Below are 22,458 nucleotides of genomic sequence, written 5' to 3' on the forward strand. Positions count from 1 at the left end.
ATAAAACACTGAGAAACGCAGTTGGATGTTTCTTGACATGCCTGCACTCTTAAGGTTTGAAGACCATCTTCTCCCAGGACCCTTGGGAAAGGGAGTATGAACAGGGAAATACTCCAGTGAGGGGATTAGCGTATGGTCATCAGAATTTATTATCATATTTTCAGTCGTGACTAAAACTTGAATAAGGGTCTTAATCTTTTAAACTATGATATTAAATTACATTTTAATTGTAATTCAAAGTCTCTTTTAAATTCTACTCCTTTAGTAATATCTCATTCTTTTTAATAAAAGCTCCTTTTAAGAGCAACTAAACTGCCACAGCTCTTCAAAATCCTTATAGAAAATGTCTTAAATAAACATCAAAAAATATAGTTCTATTATTTAGCTCTTACCTCGGGTGTCTGAACAATTCCTATGAGCTTTCTACTGGTCTGTTTAGTCTCATTCAATACAAAACAGGAAATCAATTACTACAAACCCTCTCCTAAATGAGTGCAAAACAGATGCTTCATTTAAAGTACATGTATGCCATAATTGCATTTGGTAAATATCTGGATATTTTAAAACAACAGTAATCAGCATATTAAAATAGAATTTGACATGTTATGTATTTTGATGATGTTATATATTAATATAATATTTGGCTGCTTCTCTATACACAAATCAACTACTGTAAACAAACAGCAGTGGATTAAATATTGTCATCTCCTGGCACTTTGACTTAATAAGTTAGTTCTTTGGAAGAATATATATATAGCTAGGACACGGGGTGGACACAGCATGCCAAGAGATGATCAATAGTGAGATCTGATATCTTCAGAACATCGCTATGTCAGCTTATTCAACTATAGATTTAAAATTATGTTGAGAACCTCAGTAACACATGCATTTATGAATTATGCTTGCTGAAAAACTTAAAAGCTCAAATGATTTATGGGAAAACAAATGAGAGAAGAACTCAATTTATCTTGAGAAGAGATGCAGTGATTATAGCTTCATTTCCAAGTGATTACATGCTTATCAAGAGCCTCCTAAAGGCCAAGGGAGAAGTAGAAAGGGGACCAAGGGTTGTAGATTTGATAAATAAACTCTAATGAAGGAAAAAACCTGAAGGCATCCAGAGACTCTATCCTTTATCTTTATACTCCTTGGTTTGGTTCTAGTGTCTGATGTAACTTACACTGTTCTAGGTTTCTTCAGTGAATTCAGTGTTGGCATCATAGAATGGACCTGGGACTGCTTGATTCCGTAAAGAAACTCGGAATATTTTTCAGTATTGTATTAGTCTGTTTTCACATTGCTATAAAGATACTACCTGAGACTGGGTAATTCGTAAATGAGGGGTTTAATTGGCTCAGAGTTCTGCATGGCTGGAGAAGTCTCAGGAAACTTACAATCATGGTGGAAGGGGAAGTGGAAGAAAGGTATGTCTTACGGTGGCAGGAGAGAGAAAGTGACAGAGAAGGGGGAAGCACCAGACATTTATCAGACAATCAGATCTCATGATAACTCACTATCAAGAGAACAGCATGGAGGAAACTGGCTCCATGATCCAATCACTTCCCTCCAGGTCCCTCCCTTGACACAAGAGGGTGATAATTCAGATTACAATTCGAGATGAGACTTGGGTGGGGACACAGCCAAACCATATCAGTCATCCAGTAATGATGTAGGGTTGTAGTATGTCTATTCCTTTCCCATGTTCCAGGTGAACCTGTAAATCTCCTAAGGTCAGAATTTGCCCGAGTAGTTTGGATGTGAGAAAAGTTTTGTCTCAAGGGGTTCCCCCATCAATCTCTAGGAGCACCAAGTGGGTACAAGTGACTCAGTACAATTCATGACCACAGAGGGAAAGTCAGTTGAATAACTTCTCATATTGGGTGATGAATAACATCCTCCTAATATAGGCTTTCTCATGCTCAAATATTCAGAGTGCTACTTAGGCAATAACCATTGTTGTACAACAGAAACTTATTTTTACCTAGATGTAACATCTTAGATTATTCTTACCGTGGATAAACAAAATGTTTTTGATGAAATCTTACAGTTACTAATCTGAACTTGAGCAGAGACCAGAACTTACAAACAGAACAATGTCTTCTAACCTCTGGTATTATTTTAAGTGTTTTGTTAAGACATTGATTAAATGTCAATAAATATAGAACCAGATATGAATACTTTGTGCTTATAGCTCTTATACAATTGTAGCCCAAATCAAAGTTACAAGCTAAATATATCTCCTTTAAAGCCAATAGAATCCAAATCTACAAAGTTTACTTAATATTGGCTTGTTGAAAATTAAATTACCTTTTGTCATGTGAATATGGTACTTGTGCTGAATAAATGTCTTTTTTGCTATCACCTGTCATTCAAGATGAGTCCTATCATGATTACTCTCTGTCCTGCAATACGGCTTAAAAATAATTTCACAACACCAGCTAGGATGAATAGGAAATAGGCTTCATTGGGGAAACTTACAAGGAAAGAGTCAGCAAGGAGGAAAGCCTGTGGTTGTCCATGGAGGGAGATGTGTTATGGATAGCAGACTTTGCTGGACATGCTGCAGATGTATGTTTTAATAAAGGTTCTTTGCTTTTTATTGCTTTACTTTTTTATAGTATAAACACGAAATCACCATGTCAGAAGCCAAATATACTACTCAAACAATTAGGATATCTGGACTTGGATCCAGTACTATAAGAGTTATCTGGGAAATCAGCTGCCTAGGGCCATTGGGGGCCATTGTGGAGTTGGGTTTGGGTACAGACCTTCCTGCTGCGGGAGGCTGGTCACCGAACTGGGGTTGGTGCAGTTCCAGTTGACTCAGAACTTGTAATCCAGGCAACCTAGTGAGCTCCTAGGACCATTTTTAGACAATGCTGCTTGATGCACCACAATGCTAGATGCTATGATGCAGGTTCATTTGAGTTTGGTATGTTGAAATCAGTGTGAGTCATGTGGTAATTCAATTTTCCTCATCTTTTTTTTCTGTTTGAGCTATTATAAAACTTTTGTTTCCTACAATATATCATGACATCATTTATTCTTGAGGAAAAGCCTCATTGATGTATTGCTTAGACAGTGTTAACCTATTTGCAAACTTTAGATGTAAGCCCTAAAATCTTGCAGCAGTATTCATTTACAAGGTGATAAGGTGATCTGTATCATTTAAACATGCCTGCTTTTCTATTTTAGATTACCACAAAAACAAAAACAGAAAACTGAAAACAATGCTTATGCCCCCTACTCTGTAGACTTAAGAAACACTGGAAAAAATATGTATGTTGGGGCTAGGCAACCTTGGACTTGAATTCCTGGTTCAATGGGTGTGGCCTTGGGCAAGTCATCAAACCTCTCTGGGCCTTGGTTTCTGTATTTGTAAAGTGGGAATGACATTCATTCACTCAACAAATATTAACTAAGCAGGCACTGTTTTTTTTTTTTTTTTTTTGAGACGGAGTCTCATTCTTTCACCCAGGCCGGACTGCAGTGGTGCTATCTCACTGCAAGCTCCTCCTCCCAGGTTCACGCCATTCTCCTGCATCAGCCTCCCGAGTAGCTGGGACTACAGGCGCCCACCAACACGCCTGGCTAATTTTTTGTGTTTTTAGTAGAGACAGGGTTTCACCGTGTTAGCCAGGATGGTCTCGAGCTCCTGACCTCGTGATCCGCCCGCCTCGGCCTCCCAAAGTGCTGGGATTACAGGCGTGAGCCACAGCGCCCGGCCACAGGTACTGTTTTAAGTGCTGGGAACATAGCTATGTGTAGGCTAAGTACCTGCCTTCCTGGAGCTGACATTGTAGAGAGATTGCAGAATGGAGAGAGAGAACAATATGCATGCAAACAAAGTAATTTCACATAGTGATTTGTGGTGTGAAGAATAGAGGGCAATGGGATAGAAAGTGACTGGGGATAAAGGCAGAGTTGGTACATTAGTCAGGGAAACCAGGGAAAAGAGGATATGTGGCATTTGAGCTGAGTCCCAAATGAGGAGAGGAAGCCAGACCCATGAGTTAGGAGATGTGGAGGTGAGCTTGGTGCATATGAGGCTCTGGTAGGAGGTCAGCGTGACTGGAACACAGAGAAGGAAATGATGAGGTCTGCTTTGCAGAGTTGTTTAAGGATTACATGAGCTAAGTCTATAAAGTGCCTAACATAGAGTAGGCACCCAACAAATGGCAAGCATTATTTTTATTGTAGATTATATATTCTTATTTCGTAGGTTAAAGAGTTAATTTTTTCCAAATGGAAAAGTTTTGTTCTCACTTCAACCCTTCCCTTTAGAAATAAAAAGATAAACTAGCAAGATGACTATTTCACTTATCTACTTTGTTCACAATCAATTCTTTTTTTTATTTTTATTTTTATTTTTTGTGATGAAGTCTGGCTCTGTCACCAGGCTGGAGTGCAGTAGTGCAATCTTGGCTCACTGCAACCTCTGCCTCCCGGGTTCAAGTGATTCTCCTGCCTTAGCCTCCCGAGTAGCTGGGATTACAGGTGTGTGCCACCATGCCTGGCTAATTTTTGTATTTTTAGTACAGACAGGGTTTCGCCATGTTGGCCGGGCTGGTCTTGAACTCCTGGCCTCAAGTGATCTGCCCGCCTCAGCTTCCCAAAGTGTTGGGATTACAGGCATGAGCCACTGGTGCCTGGCCGCAGTAAATTCTTTGTAAAGTTTTTTTCAATCATGTTCGTGGTATGTTTTCTTAATAATTTCAGGATATACATTATTCAGACAATCATAGAATCTTTATTTATTAAAATTAGTGATACTTTGGAGGACATCCTGGTCCACTCATTTTTCTGGTAGGCAAGATGCAGCCCAAGTAAAAGATGTAGTTTAAGAGTACGGAATTTGTGGCACAGCTTTTCTAAGATTCCAGGTCCCTGGACTTAGACTTTGTCTATTTTTTAAATGATCCTAATGCATTTTCTTCTTCTACCCTTCCTCTCCAATCTTACCGTGGCTTTTTGTTGACACTGTGATTAGCAAAGTGATACTCAGCGTATGTTTAAGGTTGTGCACAAGCCAGTAATATTGCCAGTAATTTAAAGCCTTTCAGACAGATTATAGCATAGTTTATAAGGGCATTATTACAGACTAAATGCTTGTGTCCCCTCCAAATTCATATGTTGAAGACCTAACTTGGAAGTAATGGTATTGGAGATGGGATCTTTGGGAGATAATTGGGTTTAGATGAAGTTGTGAGGGTAGGATCCTCATGATGGGATTAGTGCCTTTATAAGAGGAGACCAGAGAGCTTGCATGCTTGCTCTCTCTCTCTCTCACTCTCTCTCTCTCTTTCTCACTCATGCTCACTCGCTGTCTTTCTCTTCCATGTGAAAACACAGCAAGAAGGCAGCCATCTGTAGGGCAGGAAGAGAGCCCTCACCAGAACTTGACCATGCTGGCACCCTGATCTCAGACTTCTAGCCTCCAGAACTGTAAGACATAAATGTCTGTTGTTTAAGCCACCCAGTCTGTAGTATTCTGTTATAGAGCCCTGAGAAGACTAAGACAGGCATTTATATTGTGATGTTTTAGATATGCTACATTGTTGGATGTTTACTAGGGTGGGAGAGAATAAAATAGTAGGTTATTGCCACAGGAAACCTGACTGATGAAATTTTTGGTAATTTTCTTTCCAAGTTTGCTAAGGTCTTCTCATCTTTGTAGTGAGGTGTCAATGTCAAAGTTACATATCCTTTAAAAAAATCTGCTTTAAAACTGGTCACTACTGATTTTATGACATGAGGCACAAATTGAAGATCGAAGAGATCAATACCAGTTAATAATATGTTAGGGGAACTTGCAAGGTCTCCAATAACTTGAGTTGTCCGGATGAAATACATCAGTGCTGGAGAATAGTTGTTAAGATAGATGGGCTTGCTGTATGCTAAAATGTAGCACTATTTTGTGCTTGTAATTGAGAATTAGATCTTTGCTAGCAGTTTTATTAGTGATGTATGAGTCAGAGGAGACTACAATTCTCTTCTAAACCTATACTAAAGATACGATGCTGACAGTAGGGGGAAAAGGCTTCATCAGTAAATAAATACAATGTAGACATGAAGAATTGATGTATATGGTTATAATTGTACTCTATTACTTTTACAAAGTCCTCTGGCCTACCCATGCTTAAGAAAATATAAGACTAAATGGCCCCTCGAAAAGGTAAATTAATTGACGTATTGCTTTTCGAAATTTAGACTCAACTGTTCCCTGCAGAATAGTAGATGTCCAAGTGCTCAGGACCACATTTCTAACAAAAGAAAAATAAAGGGAATTCTAATGCATGTATCAGTCAGGCAATTGCATGTATTGCTTTTATATCCGATTAAATTTGTGAAATGGTTTGTAGAGTACTTGTGGTAATTCTTCAATATTGGGGTAATGAGAAGAGCATTTGGAGTTGAAAACCCTTCCTACATATTAATGATTCTAAGATTTGTTGTTTATTTATTTTGAATTTTCATTTTTTTTTACCATAGCACAGCAGCCAGATAGGTTAATATTTGTTTGTTTTTTTTTAAATTTTCAAAATAGGAGGAGTAATAATACCTACATCTCAGGGTTGTCATAAGAGTTTAATGAGATAATGCATGTGAAATATATTTGGTGGCCTAAAAAAAACAATTAACAGATGTTATATACCCATAAAGTTAATTCATTTATACATTGGAAAATTCAACATAAAGGAAATAATAAAGAAAAAGGGTTTGTCATCAATATTAAATGAAGAAATGAGTGGCAAAATAAGCAATGAAAATGTGAGTAGAAGGTACAGTTGAGTGGTAATCGGTTGAAGGAAGTTGCTTTAGGGGTCTTGTCATCAACAGCCAGGCGGAGAAGTTTATCACCAGGGAAACTAGTTGTCTTCCTGGGAGCCAGTATAGAAGGAGAGCTGGGGACTCTGGACAGGGATGTGGGAAGTGGTGGAGCCTTCTTTTCTCCTGGTTCATCAGTCAGGACAGGCTAAAACTCAGCAGTGCAAGGGAGAAGGTCTGCAGTGGCCTGGACTATTTAGGTTTAGGCAGAAGGAGGTACTCTCTACCAAAAGAGTTGGCCGATGGGCCCACCTGTCCCATGTACATAGATTCTTAGTAAAAAATCTAGCTTGCTTTTCAAATACAGCCTTAATGCAAGTCTCCATTCCATCCAGATGGCCTCTAAGCCCTTCTTATTTAGAAATTTTGAAGCTGTCACTTTCTGCTCTATTTTAAAAGTAGAAAAATGTTGAGCTCTCTTTATATTTATTTGCATAGAGTTTATCTGCTCCAGACAACTCCATGGAATGTGCTTCCTCCCTGACAGTTTGTTTCCCACTGTTTCCTCACAGCCTAGCATGTAAAATAGGTGCTCACTAAATTACAATGAATGAATATATAACAGAATATAAATAAGGAGCACATGTAAATAAGAAAGCGATATGTATTGGAGAAGTAACATTTATTGGCTGCCTCTTTGCATACTTGTAGTAACTTATTTGAGCCTTTGAACAATGCTGTGAAATAGATGTGATTGTCCTATTTGGTAAATGAGTGAATGGAGACTTGAAGAATTTATAAAACGTGTTTCTGTTCTTACATCTGGTAAGTGTGATAAATGTGGGTCAAATTTGACCAATGCCAAAATCCACAATCCTCTAACTGCTGAGTTCTCCTTGAACAGCAGGGATGATGACATAAGGAGGGGGCAGAGCTAGACTCCATTCTAAGGAGGCTCCAAGGGGGAACTCAAAAGTCAACTGGGATTCTGGGGAAAAATAGAACTGAATTTTCCATTCATTGTTAAATAAAAAATTAGGGTCTGTTTGAAGTGATTTCAATGTTCCCAGTGAGTTAGTAACACAGATAAACATACTTAGCAGGACCTGGGCTGTGGTAGGGACTCAATAAATGTTTATAGCACAAATGAATGAAAAAAAATGAATGAAAGAACAGGGTAAGTCAACTAGAGGGCAGCTGGTTTCAACATAGAAGCCATGCCGATTACCATGACTAGCACCAGGGAAATGGAAAAAGTTAACAGGGAGATGAGCATAAAGATGGTGAATTGGAGCAGTCTCTGGGTCTATAAGTAAATGAGAAACCAGGCAAACACATTGAAAACTCACATATAAAGGTTTTTGTGTCTTTTATTGAGTTCTGTAAGCAATCATAATGGGTTTCTTCTTGAGTTCTTTAAATGATCTATTAAAAAAAAAACCCAGCCACAGCATTTGGAAAGTCAACAAAGCTTTACAGGATGGGCTCTCCAGAATCAGGAAAGTAAATACTATGAGCCTCTTGGTACCCTGGGTGAGTTACCACACTCAGGTTGCAAATTATTCCTCCAGCTGTAATTACAACATTAATTGTGAGCTTTATTTATTTAGTGTTACTCATGAGGCAAGAGGTTTGCTATTCTGCATGGTTGGTGAAGGGGCAATTCTGGACCACAGTGGGGAGTGGCTGGTGGTGTCTGGGTCTGGGATGCCGTCTTCTATCTGCCTTCAGCTGTGGCCAGTGTTGGGGAGGCAAATTTCTACTTCCTTCCTCTTAGGGTCTGGCTGGGCCCAAGAATTAAGTTGACATAAGCTAGATTAATAGACGAAAAGTACACACATTTATTTTATACAAGCTTTATGTGGCACAGGAGACCTCATAAGGAAATGAAGACCCAAAGGAGCAGTTAGAGCCCATCGCTTACATACTGAATTGGACAAAGAAAAGCAAGTTGTGAAAATGTGATAAGTAAAGGGGCTTGGGCTAGGTTAGCTAATTGGGTAGAGACGTGACCAGGAAAATAAGAGTTAGTTTAACAAGGTTTGCTTGTATAAACTTCCCTAGGCTTCAACTTTCTATTCTTGATAAGATTGTTGCTTTCTTTCTGGTATAGGGAGGACCTCCTTCATGTGGGAATTTTGTCTCTTGCTTTTAAGAAACAGAATGGAGATTAGAGTGATCTTTTTGTACTTACTATTTTTTTAAGTGCCTTTATTTCAAAATAGTCAATATGCTAGAGCAGCGTATTTTGGGGTGTCATAGTCTTAACTCCTTCACTAGAATAAGGCCTTGCTCACTAAATGATGATGTGTTAGGATGAGGAAGCATCACTGTTACCTGACAAATAAGAAGAAATAAGCTCATGGAGAATACTAATGTTCCTAAGGAAAGCTACAGTGCTTGGAGTTGTCTTCTAACACTTTCTGAGGCTACACCTTGGGGTCCCAAACACCACTTCTTGGTACCATTCCTAGAGGCAGAATCCTAAATTGAAAGGACCACTGACCTTAAGTGATAAGACACTTTTTATATCATTTTGCTCTGTCCCCTTCCCTGTGAAAGCAATGGAGAGGGTAGTGCTGTCCTGTAACAGCTCAGGCAGTGGCTCAACAGTGGTCTGCTTTGGTCAATTGGTTTAGGAGAAGCCAGTGTCACTTCAGACCTGAGGGAAGGAACTGGGCTCCTCATGAACCCTAACTGCAAGTTGTTTTCCCACTTATTACTATTATTAGAAATGCTTCCATGAATTTAAAGATGGATGTGAAAACAAAGTACATGTGAATAGCGATTTACCCAAGTTGTACCAGGAATGATATTGACATGTACAGTAGTTACTGTGGTAGCCTTGTCCACATTTCTTGGAAAAACAGCCCTAGCTCAGTTAATTGAATAACAGCAAAGCATATTCATTTATGTTACTAATGTTATAGTTTATCTTATTAATTAATCTTAATGACTGTCTATTACACAATTAATTAAGACTCATTTGTATATACTGATTAAACAAACACACGGGACTTGGCATCAGATAGGATGGGCTCATATTCTGGCTCTATGACTTACTAGCTGGTTGGTCTTAGAGAAATTACTTAATCTTACAACCTCAGTTTCCTCATTCACAAAATGGGTATAAGAGCCATTTTGTTGTTTGTCAGACTGTTGTGAGAATTAAATGAATTAAACCATGTGACACACTTAGTTTAAAAAAAAAGTGTAGCATGCATTCCTTCTCAGTAAAAGAAAGTGACATATTTGCTTGATTGCAAGATGCACATTTTTCCATATCTTGACATGTCTGAAATCAGGATGGCTCTTAAGAGCTTTCAAAAGAGGCTCTGCAGGTGCTAGCCAGGGAACCTAACAAGTTGCTTTTGCTTGCGTGTGTGCATGTGGCAACTTTACCAGGCCCAGAAGGGAGGTGTTCACTTCATTTGATTTAGTATCACTGGGAGCACCACTGGTGCACGCTATCTCAATTTAATTTAGAAGTGTCATTGTAAAACAGCAACAAAAATATTTTCAAACGGGTTTCCCCCATAGTGCAGCATTGAAACAGAGTTACTGTGAATACAGAAGACTGTCTATCCCACAGCAGGCAATGCAATTAAAGACTTCAGAGAATGCCAGATTTTTCAGAATGCATCATAGAATTTTCAAAGCTGTAAGAAAGAGGTGAGTAAAACCAGTTTTTTGAAGTTTTATCACTGAAGCTCAGAATATCAGATAAAAGCTTCTAGCTGACTTTCAAGAAAAGCAGTTTAAAGTCCAGCGATATGTAATTCACTTAGAAAATTCTATAAGTATAATTAAAGAGGAAACGTAGACAAAATAGCAGATTCTTTAATGTGCTGTTAAATTATATTACCAATACTAAAATTGCTACATCTGTCAAGACAATGGGCATTGCTAATGAAAATCAGAATATCATTATGATCTAGAAGAGACTCAGAATTATTTTTATACTTTGTAAAAGAAGCTTAGAACCTACTTTTGATGGTCATATTGATATTGGCACAGAAAGTGGTGTGTAATGGTATGAATAAATGTAAACTTTTATAGGTTCTTAAAATATATAATTAATATAGTATTTGCTTTTTCTGGAAGATTGTCAGTAAATTGGTGCTTTTTTTCCTTTTCTTTCTTTCTTTTTTTCTTTTTACAATGGCTGATATATCAGAATCAAGGGGACATAATATAATCAAGATGACTGAAAGTGTCCTGTTGAATATAGCAATATCTTTTAGGTGTGTGTGCTCAGTGCACAGTGTCTTTCTGGCAGCCATTTTATGCAAAGTAGCTCCTCTGGCCTCGGTTGTTTAGACCAGGCATGCATCCCTGATTCAAGTTGGGCCAAAGTCTCCTCCTCAGGAATCTGGAATTGGGACAGAGAGAAAGAGTCTCTGAACCTGGGAGGGATGACAACGTACCATGTATATGGAGTATCAGAGAGCACTAGTATGGTGAGAAAGAAGAGTGCAGCAGGCTGCAGAGAGAAGCTGCCATGAGAGGTGCCTGGGAGGAACCCATGTTGTCGATGGCTTGCTATTTCTTGGTTCCAATCTGTCCCCAGACCAGGCTGTATTTTGGTCCTGAGGTCCCTTGCATTAAATTACCCTTGTGTTATTAAAATAAATTCTTTACATTTTTGCTTATGTTAGCTTGGCTTGTTTTTTATTTTTATTTTTATTCTCTATATCTGAGAGAGGCCTAACTGATACATTCACCTTGTCACAGACTAAGCCAAAATCATGGTATTGTTGTCTTTTGAGATTTCATAGCTGGTGACCCCAGGCCATGGGCAGCCTCAGCAAGACCCCAAATACCCTCCATTTCCCCCACGATGCCATAAAGTATGTTATCATTTTCTACATGACCTTGATGTGTAAAAGGTTGGAAAGCACTGGTTTAAGGTATGTTTTAAGTCAAATCAACATTGGGGATAATGACAAACTGATGTGCCTGAGCAAATGGACATTCTACGTGAGGCTTCTTAGAGTATCACAGTTAGAGCTAAAAGATATCTCAGAAATCTTGCTTTATTTTACAGGTGAGGATGCTGAGATGTAGAGAGACTGATTTGCTCAAGATAACAAAGAGTTTTATTGATTTGGGAACCCATGGAAGGGGGTCAGCTGTGAGATATCACATGATCAGACTGACTGCCTGACCAGACTGACTGCCATCCTGTTAAAGGTCAGCCCTTCCCTGTGTGCTCTGGATCCTATGCCAGCTCACCTTATTGAGAACTTTGTTTCTTTATGTTCTCTTCCTCCTGCTTTAGTCATCTTTTCCTTTCAATCAGATCATCTCAGCTGCACACAAACATTTTCTAGGCTCTCTGAGCAAACAAGCAAGGACTTGAACCAACTCCTTGACCTTTCGGGCTGGAGTATTTCTTTGCATTTTTTCCTGGTCAGACTTCAACCGTTGTCTGTGCAGCCATTATAGAAATTTCTTCTTCATTTTTCATCTCCTCCCTGAGCCATTATAGTTGGCTTCCACTGTGACCACCAATTTGCTGAAACCATTGTCAAAGTCAAGGTAGAAAGTGATTTTCATTTTGCTAAATCTAGTAGACATTTCTCTATTCTTATCTAACGTGATTGTTTTTAGCAGCATCTAATCCACTTGACCACTTCTTGAAGAATTCTCCTTTTTTAATGCTCCTCATGCCTCCGGCTTTCTCCTATTTCACCAGCACCCCCTGCTCAGACTCCCTTGCCTGCTTCCCCTGCTCAACTAATCCTCTAAATGATTGTTTTCTGGGGAGCTCTTACGGACCCTTTTCCCTTTTCTGATTTTTCTCCCTAGATGGATTTCATCTATTCTATGGATTCAAATACCAAACAAATTTGGTCCTAATGTTAAAGACTACCAAACATACCTTCTGCCCTGATCCCTCATCAGAACTCCATTCTTGCAGATCCAGCTGCCTACTTGACATTTCCACCTGAGTGTCTCACAGATATGGCAAAATTTATAAGTTCAAAATGCATTGTTAACACTTCCCACAAATCTCAATCTCAGCAAATGGCCTCACAATCCTCTTGGCTACTCCAAGAATCCCAGGAATGATATTTGATTCCTTCCTTTCTCTTCTTGCACAAGTCTCATCTATCAGAAGATTATGTTTGTTGTATTTCTTAAATATGCCCTAATCTCCCTTTTTTTGAACTCCATTGCTACCATTTATTCCAGATCAATATCTTTTAGTCTTCCCACACTAATTTATTCTTCTCATATTATTAAAGGTAATGTGCTTAAAACAGAAATTGTATGAGGTCACCCCCAGGCCTGCTTAAAACTCTCCAGGGACTTGCCATTGTACCTAGAACAAGGTCTGAGGTTTAAACCATCATCTCTAGGATTTGCATAATCTCATCCCTTCTTCAATCATATGTCTTAACTTTCTTTTCCCTAGTGGATGGACTTCATCCATTCTTCTTTTTCCTTTCTCAAAAATTCCATGCTCTGTCTTGTTTCATAGTCTTTGAACATGTTCTTTTCTCATCTGTAGAATCTTTTTCTCATTCTATGTATGTCTACAGCTCTTCTTAACAATCTTTGTCTTAGCTTAAGTAACACTTCTTTAGAAAGATCTTCCTTGACTATTCTAAACTTAAGAATCTTGTTTGTCTCCACAATAGCATTAAACATAACATATAACCATTTAAACCATTTTATTTATTTGAATTTTGCCTCCTTATCTTGTTCTCTTTCAAATTGCAAACTCCCTGATGTTAGGGATGTCTTTTCTACCTCTAGCACCTATTACAGTGCCTGGCTCAATTTGCTTTATAAAGGAATAAGACACATGAAGAAATTAGTTTATATAAAAGCAGTAGGTCAGCGATCTTTTCCTTTCTGTACTAGGCTATACTGTGATCATTTGAGTAGAATGGAAAGCAGTGATAAAATTTTCTTGAAGGAAATAGTTGGGTATATCTGGCTCCCTGAGTTTTGCAATTGCTAAACTTTTGTTTATTTTTCTCCCCGTGAATATGGATGGGAGGTAGAAGGTTAATTACTATGACATTTTTTTTCTAATATATCTCAAACCTAGGTGTTAAAACAAGCATGTGTTGGCTTTTAGTCATTGTTTGTTTCAGAGGGCACATTACTATTTTGTGCCTCTGGGTATAAGGCATTTCTCTTCTTTCTGAGTTCTCTGTTTTTAATTATTATTATTCTTTGGTTTTACAAAGTGTGATATTCACCCCATGTATAATGCTCTTTCTGGACACTTTAATTCATGGAAGAACATTTTCTCCAATGATTTTTAGGGAAAAACAGTAGTTATGCTAAGATTATCTAACAGCAGGGGTTCCTAATTTTATCTTAAGTCATAGATTCCCTTGAGTGTCTAGTCCAAGCTATGTAATAATTGCATTGAAAAATGCATCTACACACACAAACATGTTTTGGGTACATGTTAATGAACTGGCTAAAGCCCATTCATGAGCCCTACACACTTAAGAACCATTATTCTGCAATGCTCATACACACCTTGGGGAATTCCCTTATTCTCCACCCATGAATTTGACAAACCAAACATTTTTGATGGAGGGGGCACATTTAGGTCCAGAGCATGAGAATTCAGTTCCCCTTACCCCTCAAAATAAGAGCTGAAGGTCTTCCTCCACCCTGAGATTGTCTAGTCTTAATAGTTATGTTATATAATACCTTCCATCATTGAAGTGCTCTCTTTTTTTTTGGTGATAACCAAATATTTTTGTATGAGGTATTTGGTTATCACCAAAAAATGTTTATTTCTTCAAAGAACTCATGATACCATTAGGAAGGTAAGACAGATGGAAACAGTTTATTAATCTACACACTGAATTCCTTGCTCTAGATGACATCAAAATAAGTAAGACCTATTTTTGTACTTAAAACACATATGATCTGCTTAGAGGGATGTTGGAAATAGACAAATGGCATTGACACAAAGGTAAATAAAATAAGGGTTGGAAGAGTCATTTGAAACTGGTGAGACAGGTAGGTTTGATGATAAAGGGAGAGGGTGAGGGTGGCAGATTGGACCTCTATGCCTGCTCTCTGTTAAGTTTCCCAGGAGCTCCATGGGGGCCTAGGCTAGCAGCAGACAGAATGTCTGTATTTGTAGCACTGCCAAAATCGAAAGACCTATGAGATCCTTGAATACAGGGTTTGAGCCTTACTCGTGTTTAAAAAGTTTCTTTAGGGTATGGCTCAGTATTTGCCAAACAGGAGCTGCTAATAAATGTTGGTTGCATAGAGTTTGAAACAAAACAAACAAAACAAAACAAAATAGCACCCCTTGCCAAAATGACAACAACAACCAACAAAGAAACATAAAAGCCTATTGACACACACTGTAGTCATAAATGCTAACCAAGGAGTTACTTAGGTCTTGGCCACTAGGATTTGACTGCCTAATACAGACACGCTGTGGTACACATGGGAAATGCTTTGTACATACCGTGGTCCTCCTTAGTGAGCCTACTATGTCTTTGTGGAGAAATAATCCAATTCATTTCAGAAAACAGTGTAAAGAGGAGAATCTCTAATTGGTTATTTCTGTGTATGACTTTTTGTTTTGTTTAATTTCCTATTTGGTACATGACAATTTGGCTGATAATCATCTGAAAAATGTTGAGTTGCTTGTGAGCTGTTATAAATTACTTCTTTATACACAGCCCATCTTTTATTATAATATAGAGATATAATACTTAGATATAGCTGCTTTTATTTGTTCTTTGCCATAACATTTGCTAGTAATTTTTTTTCATTATTGGCAATGCTTACATAATGACATACTAATACCTACAGGAATGAATCACAGTTCATCTCGCAGATTTATGGCATGCCTACAGAAAAAGTACCTTATGATGCAAACCTGAAAGTTTAAATAATCTCCTGAAAGTTCCACAATCAGGTAAGCAAGCAAATGTGGTTTAGAGGTCAAAAGAAAAAATGAATCAGTTTAAACTCTTTTCTTCTTTATATCAATAATGAAACAAGAAGGATTGGGAAATGCTGTTAGCAAGCAGATAAATCATTTCTTCATAGCACAGTCGAAATAGAAAGCTTCCACTTGTGGGAGGGTTCATGTATACCTTTTGCACGTAAGCTCTCTCTTCTTCCTACACTTGGGCTAGCAACAAGAGTGCGGTTCTGCAGATCTGCTTGGATTCTAGGCAGAGTTTTTCAAAGCATCCCCTTTGCTTTTCAGCCACTTACATTTGTCATGGTCCTTGGTTGTGTTGGCCAGTTTTCTCCCATTCATAGCTATCCTTAGAGTTCAGTAAGACCTTAGCAAGTATTTTGGTAGGAGGAGGGAGACTATGTGGTTATGACTTTATTTTTCTTTTCTTCCTTTCTTTTTATCCCCCCGCATGCCTATTCTCCACCTTTCTGGTCCCTCTTTGTGTGTCTTTATCCTTGTTTCTCTCTTTCTGTCTTCTACCTGGCTCTCTGTATCTGTGCCCATGTCTCTGTCTCTTTTCTTCTTTTACTTGCCTCTCACTCCTCACATATTTATTATGCATTACCATATGCCAGGCACTGAGTTAGGGGTTGGGGATGATAAAGATGATATAAAAGATGGTTATGCTTTCCAGAGTTCCCAGTGTAATGGTGCAGGTGTTGAGAGGAGGGAAAGACGTGAAAAAAGTGAGGGCCTGTAATCCCAGCACTTTGGGAGGCTAAGGCAGAAGGATCACTTGAGCCCAGGAGTTTGAGACCAGCTTAGGCAACATAGGGAGACCCCATCTCTACCAAAACCAAAACCAAAACCAAAACAGAAACCAGAAAAAAAAATTAGCTGGATGTGGCGGCATGCACCTGTGGTCCCAGCTACTAGGGAGGCTGAGGTGGAAGGACCGCTTGAACCCAGGAGGTTGAGGCTGCTGAGCCGTGATTGTGCCACTGCACTCCAGCCTGAATGACAGAGCAGGACTCTCTCTCTCTCTGTCTCTCTCTCTCTCTCACACACACACACACACACACACACACACACACACACTAATAGAGTTATAAATGAGATGCTATAGTAAGACAAAGAAGTATTTAACTCTGAAAAGATCAGGGTGAGTTAAAATCTGAAATAAGTCCTGAAGGATAAGCAGGCATTTTCCACATGAACAATCGTGGCCCCAACAGAGGCCATTCCATGGGTGGTGGTGTGTACGAAGGTCTGGAGGCGAGAAAATGCAAACATTATGGAAATGGCAAACAGAGCACCTATATTTAGTCCACTCACAACCAAAAATAAAGGGTAGATCACAGAGCAATAGTGTCTACAAATGGAATAGTAATTTTTACCTACGTACCTACATAAGTCCTGTGCAACTGGCGCATTTTTGGTTTGTTTTTGTTTTTCTACCAATAATCACCCTCAAATGCATGTAATGTAGCTGTGTTAGGAGGTGATTCTCCTCCACGGTCTGAATTATTGGCATTAGGCTGAGAGGATCCCCTTTATTCCTCTAACCAAAAAGATTTATGCTGAGTCTTTCCTAAACCGAAAGTATAATAGAAGCCAAATGTTGGGGACTTGAGGGCAACCTATACACTACTCCACTTTCTTTCCACCTAGTTCTGAACCAATTATGAGAGAGATAATGAGTAAGGCAGATGAAATTCCAAATAGCCCCTTTATTAGTAATAAAGGCTAGTTTGGAGAATGTGGGTCAGGCATATGGCAATAATAATTTCCTGGCTCCTTTCTCCAATTTGGGGAGACTCACCTACCTAGGTAGGGCTAGAAAACCATGGACATCTCTGCAATCCTGATGAAACAGAGCATCAGACCAGAGGTGTCTGCCAGCAAGCAGAGAAATGGGAAAATAAGGCTGAAGAATGCCTGCTTTGTTTCTTTTCCAAACTCACTCATCATATAGATCATTCCACTTACCATGGAATAAAATAAGTGAGTGCGTGGGGAGAGGTCATGTGTGTTATATTGATGATGTCCCATGGAAACTTGAAGAGAGGTAAAAGAAGGTTCCCATCACCAACTCCTTGACTAATATGTATCACCCCTTTTCCCCATTGCAGGAGGTTGACATTTGGGTGAGAGTGTGTGAGAAATGTCTTTTCAATAAAAATGTGAGCATTTTAATTCGAATCCCTGGCATGAACTAGTAGGACAAGCAGAGATACCTTTTGTAAACACAGTTTGTAGCTGAGCTCTTTCTTAAAGTAGAGGCATAGCAAGTTGACCTCTGAAGAACCTTCTGGATGTGTGGCTCTGGAGTACTCTATTAAAATGAGTAGATTGAGAAACACTAATGTTATAGTTCAGAAAGCAGGAGAGACCCAGGCCTTTAGAAGCTATCTAGAATTGAGCAGGAGATTGGAGATGTGCGGCAGTCTGACCTTTTGAGTAGGCTTTAAATTTGAAAAGCAGGCTGTCAGATTGTTACTGAAACTTTGTTTAGTACATAGTGTTCCGGTAACATTTAACTGCACTTTATCAAGCTCACTCGTCTCATCTCCAGCTCCCAGGGACTCTTTGCTTTCCCTCTGATGTAGATTCTGCTGGGGTGCTGTGTTCTTTCAAGATAAGACAGCTGCTCTACTCTAGCTTAGAGATGACTGCATTTTAGTGTCCTTGATTTTCTTAAACAGTTGAAACAAGATTTACAATTTAATTAGCAAGGAGCTGTAATCTGTCAGAGTACCATGCCTTTAATAGCTGCAGAGGCATGCCTGTAGGGGCAAGGGGACTGTAGCTTTTCCAGTGAAGTCCTACTTAAGTCCAGAAAATTTACTGTGACCCGTCACATTGCTTTTCTGCTTCTATGGCTTTGTCTCCTTTTGTCCCTGCTGTTGCTGTTGGATGCTCCCCCAGTTTTTTCTCCTTGTTCCTTGGCTGCTCGCCCCGAGGTTACCCTGATTCCACTTTCCCTTAATGACAATACATCTTTAAAGTTGTAGAGCATACCAGTCATTTGGGGTGGGAGGTGAGGGGACGGTCTTCTTTAAAATGCAGATTCCTGGGCTGTACCTCCAAGATGCTGACTTGTTAGGTCTGTGATGTGGTCCAGGAATCTCACTTTGACCTAGCACCCCTAGAGATTCTGAGGCAAGGTCGTCCAACAACCTAACTTTGAAAAACCCTGCCAAGTACGATGCTCTAGTGTCCTGCTTATGCTCTCTTCAGTATGTGACCTTGGTCCACCTCTCATCTTAGTCCTCACTACTGTCATTTAGGTGCTAAAAACCGGAAGGGCCTTGGCTTCTGTAGCTTGAGAAGCTTGAGATAAGACATATTCTAGGCTGTATGTTGAGGAAGAGAATCAAATTGGTGAGGTGTTTTGAGATTAAAGGGACAGGCTGATGACACTGTTAGCATGCACTTTCCATAAAGCTGGAGGTCTCTGGTAGAGTTCAGCTCTGTTCAGTTTAATAGCCAGTTACCCCCAGTCTCTGTGCTTCATGCTGGTGGCCCAGCTCTCTAGGAGCATAGGGTTTTAAGCAGGTCCCTGTTAGAGCCCAGTTTTTCCTCCCCAAAAAGCCTATTAAGAAGTTGGTTGCCAGCTGGGCGCAGTGGCTCACGCCTGTAATCCCAGCACTTTGGGAAGCTGAGGCGGGCAGATCACCTGAGGTCAGGAGTTCGAGACCAACCTGACCAACATAGAGAAACCCCATCTCTACTAAAAATACAAAAATTAGCTGGGCATGGTGGCGCATGCCTGTAATCCCAGCTACCCGGGAGGCTGAGGCAGGAGAATCGCTTGAACCCGGGAGGCGGAGGTTGTGGTGAGCTGAGATTGCGCCATTGCACTCCAGCCTGGGCAACATGAGCGAAACTCCCTCTAAAAAAAAAAAAAAAAAAAGAAGAAGAAGAAGTTAGTTGCCTTCAATGTATGTGCTATTTGTAATGTGATTTCTTTTCTTCTTGTTTTTGTTTTGAGTAGTAGTTGGGAATGTGGTCTACATTTCTTTGTATTTATTTTTAAAATTCTTTCGAACTTTTAGTTTTAGCATGGACATGTGTGCAGGTTTGTTGCATGGGTAATTGCACGTTATGGAGGTTTGGTGTACAGATTATTTTGTTACCCAGGTAATGAGCATAGTACCTGATGGGTAGTTTCTCAGTCCTCTCCCTCCTCCCATTCTCCACCCTCAAGTTGGCCCCAGTGTCTAATCCCTTTTTTGTGTCCATGTGTACTCAATGTTTAGCTCCCACTTAGAAGTGAGAACATTATATTTGGTTTTCTGTTCTTGCGTTAATTTGCTTAGGATAATGTCCTCCAACTCTATCCCTGTTGCTGCAGAGGACATGATTTTGTTCTTTTTTATGACCATGTAGTTATTCCATGTTGTAAGTGTACAACAGTTTCTTTATCTGATCCACCGCCGATGAGTACCTAGGTTGATTCCATGTCTTTGCTATTATGAATAGCACTGTGATGGACATATGTGTGCATGTGCAGACCTTACTTTGAGGCATCCTATGGACAATGTGCATCTCTTTAGGGATATTTGTCCAGGAATAAGGAACCCCTGAAACTTCAGCAGTTGGGGAGAATAATGAACAGTCACTCCAAGGGACCTTATTTACCTCTTGTTAGGATGTTAATCATGGGACTTCTGAATTTCTAGAACCATTTGTAATTTTATTTCCTTCCTTTATGAGAATTGTTTAATTTTTTTATTTTTAAACTATTCCTATACTACATAGTTCTTCTAGACTATTCTTTTACCTAATATCATCTATTCATTTTCATCATTTTAATACTCATAGTTTACTATTTTTTAAATTATCTTTTTGTTTATGATGTCTATTTATCCTGCTTCATTTTTTACCACTCTATCGTTCCTGTTCACTTTTTGAGTTTTAATTTTGTCTATATATTGTGATCATTTTGGAGCTATGACATTTTGCAAAGAGTGAAGTTGAATTTGTGGGGGATCCTTTGCATTTTTGTTTGGTATATGTATTAGTCCATGTTCACGCTGCTGATAAAGATACCCAAGACTGGGCAGTTTACAAAAGAAAGAGATTTAATAAACTTACAATTCCATGTGGCTGGGGAGGCTTCACAATCATGACGGAAGGTGAAGGGCATGTCTCACATGGTAGCAGACAAGAGAAGAGAGCTTGAGCAGGAAGACTCCCATTCTTTAAAACCATCAGATCTCGTGAGACTTAATCACCATCACAAAAACAGCACAATAAAGACCTGTCCCTATGATTCAATTACCTCCTACCGGGTCCCTTCTACAACACGTGGGAATTCAAGATGAGATTTGGGTGGGGATATAGTCAAACAATATCAGTAAAGGAAAATTACTTTCAAGTTAGGTTTGTTGCACTAGTTTTTATGACTTGCTTTGTCATCATCTCTGTTCCCTATTTATATTTTCTTTGTAAGCAGCATGTTTCACTCGAGTAGTTTGAAATCTAAACTGTTTACTCTCTGCCTCCTCAGGGAGGTTTTATGAGAAGTTAGCTCTGTTTAGGTGGTGTTGGCATGGTACCAGCATGTCAACTTTTCTTGGTACGGACTGGACTGCAAGGTGATGTGACTAGAAGGCCAGTAACTTAAAATTCCTGAAATTGTTGCTTTTATTTAAAAAAGAGTTGTTGTGCCTCAGTGAAAGGCAGTCTGTATGAAATATTAAAAATTATTATTGCTAGTTATTTACGGTAGGTGGAGAATGTTGGTTATCTTCCCAGCTGCCCTTTAGAAAAAGCTTTATAGTAAGCTTCATGGTATAACCTTTGTGTCATAGATTGAAATGACCTGGATTCATTTTTAAGATAGTTTCACTTAAAGTAGTGTGTGCCCTATCCAAAGACCTAAGAAAAATCAATTCCCATGCTACCCAAATGTTGATATCAATTTTCTCACTTGCTAAGATATGCTGGCTGTAGTTTAGTAAAAGGATCCTGTTTTCAAGCAAACAACAACAACAAACCCGAAGAATAAATAGTTGAAAGTTTCCTAAAATCTCTTACAAGCATTCCTCGCTAACTCTGAGAATCCTGAGGGCAAGTTCAGTATACTTAGAGGTTACTTGAGCCCTCAGCCCTGGCTGGGAATCCTGTCAGCTGTATCAGCTTCTGTGGTGCCATCAGCTGCTTTTGCTATTTACAGGTCTTTTGTCATCCATGAGTCACTTTTTAGTCCACGTCTGTTCTTCCTGGCTTGGTGAAGCCTCTAGACTGCCTTTATCTTCTATGTCTGAAATAAAATAGAAAACTGCATTTCAAAGATAAGTACTTATTTAATCACTATGTTAGTCTGTTCTTACATTGCTGTAAAGAAACACCTGAGGCTGGGCAATTTATAAAGAAAAGAGGTTTAATTAACTCATAGTTCTGCAGGCAGTACGGGAAACATGGCCCCAGCATCTGCTCATGGTGAGGCCTCAGGAAGCTTCCAATCATGGTGGGAGGCAAAGTGGGAGCAGGCAGTGTAACATGGTGAGAGTGGGAGTGCATGCATGAGAGGGGAGAGGTTCTACACTCTTTTTTTTTTTTTTTGAGACGGAGTCTCACTGTCACCCAGGCTGGAGTGCAGTGGCGCGATCTCGGCTCACTGCAAGCTCTGCCTGCCGGGTTCATGCCGTTCTCCTGCCTCAGCCTCCCGAGTAGCTGGGACTACAGGTGTCTGCCACCACGCCCGGCTAATTTTTTGTATTTTTAGTAGAGACGGGCTTTCACTGTCTACACTCTTAAACAGCCAGATCTCA

The 22,458-nt window shown here is 39.4% G+C and overlaps 1 long non-coding RNA gene across 4 annotated transcripts in view; it reads left to right on the top strand.

Annotated features, from left to right (window-relative positions):
- Positions 1-22,458, top strand: part of LOC105375523 (uncharacterized) — a 459,019-nt gene that overhangs the window by 34,402 nt on the left and 402,159 nt on the right. Inside the window, exon 2 of one of the 4 annotated variants that reach the window (NR_187954.1) lies at positions 15,580-15,685. The exons of the other annotated variants lie outside the window; for them this stretch is intronic. This is a non-coding gene — a long non-coding RNA (uncharacterized LOC105375523). The remainder of the gene's footprint in view (positions 1-15,579; positions 15,686-22,458) is intronic. 4 annotated transcript variants of the gene reach the window in all.

This window comes from Homo sapiens, chromosome 7 (genome assembly GCF_000001405.40).
Source record: "Homo sapiens chromosome 7, GRCh38.p14 Primary Assembly".
Taxonomy (NCBI): domain Eukaryota; kingdom Metazoa; phylum Chordata; class Mammalia; order Primates; family Hominidae; genus Homo; species Homo sapiens.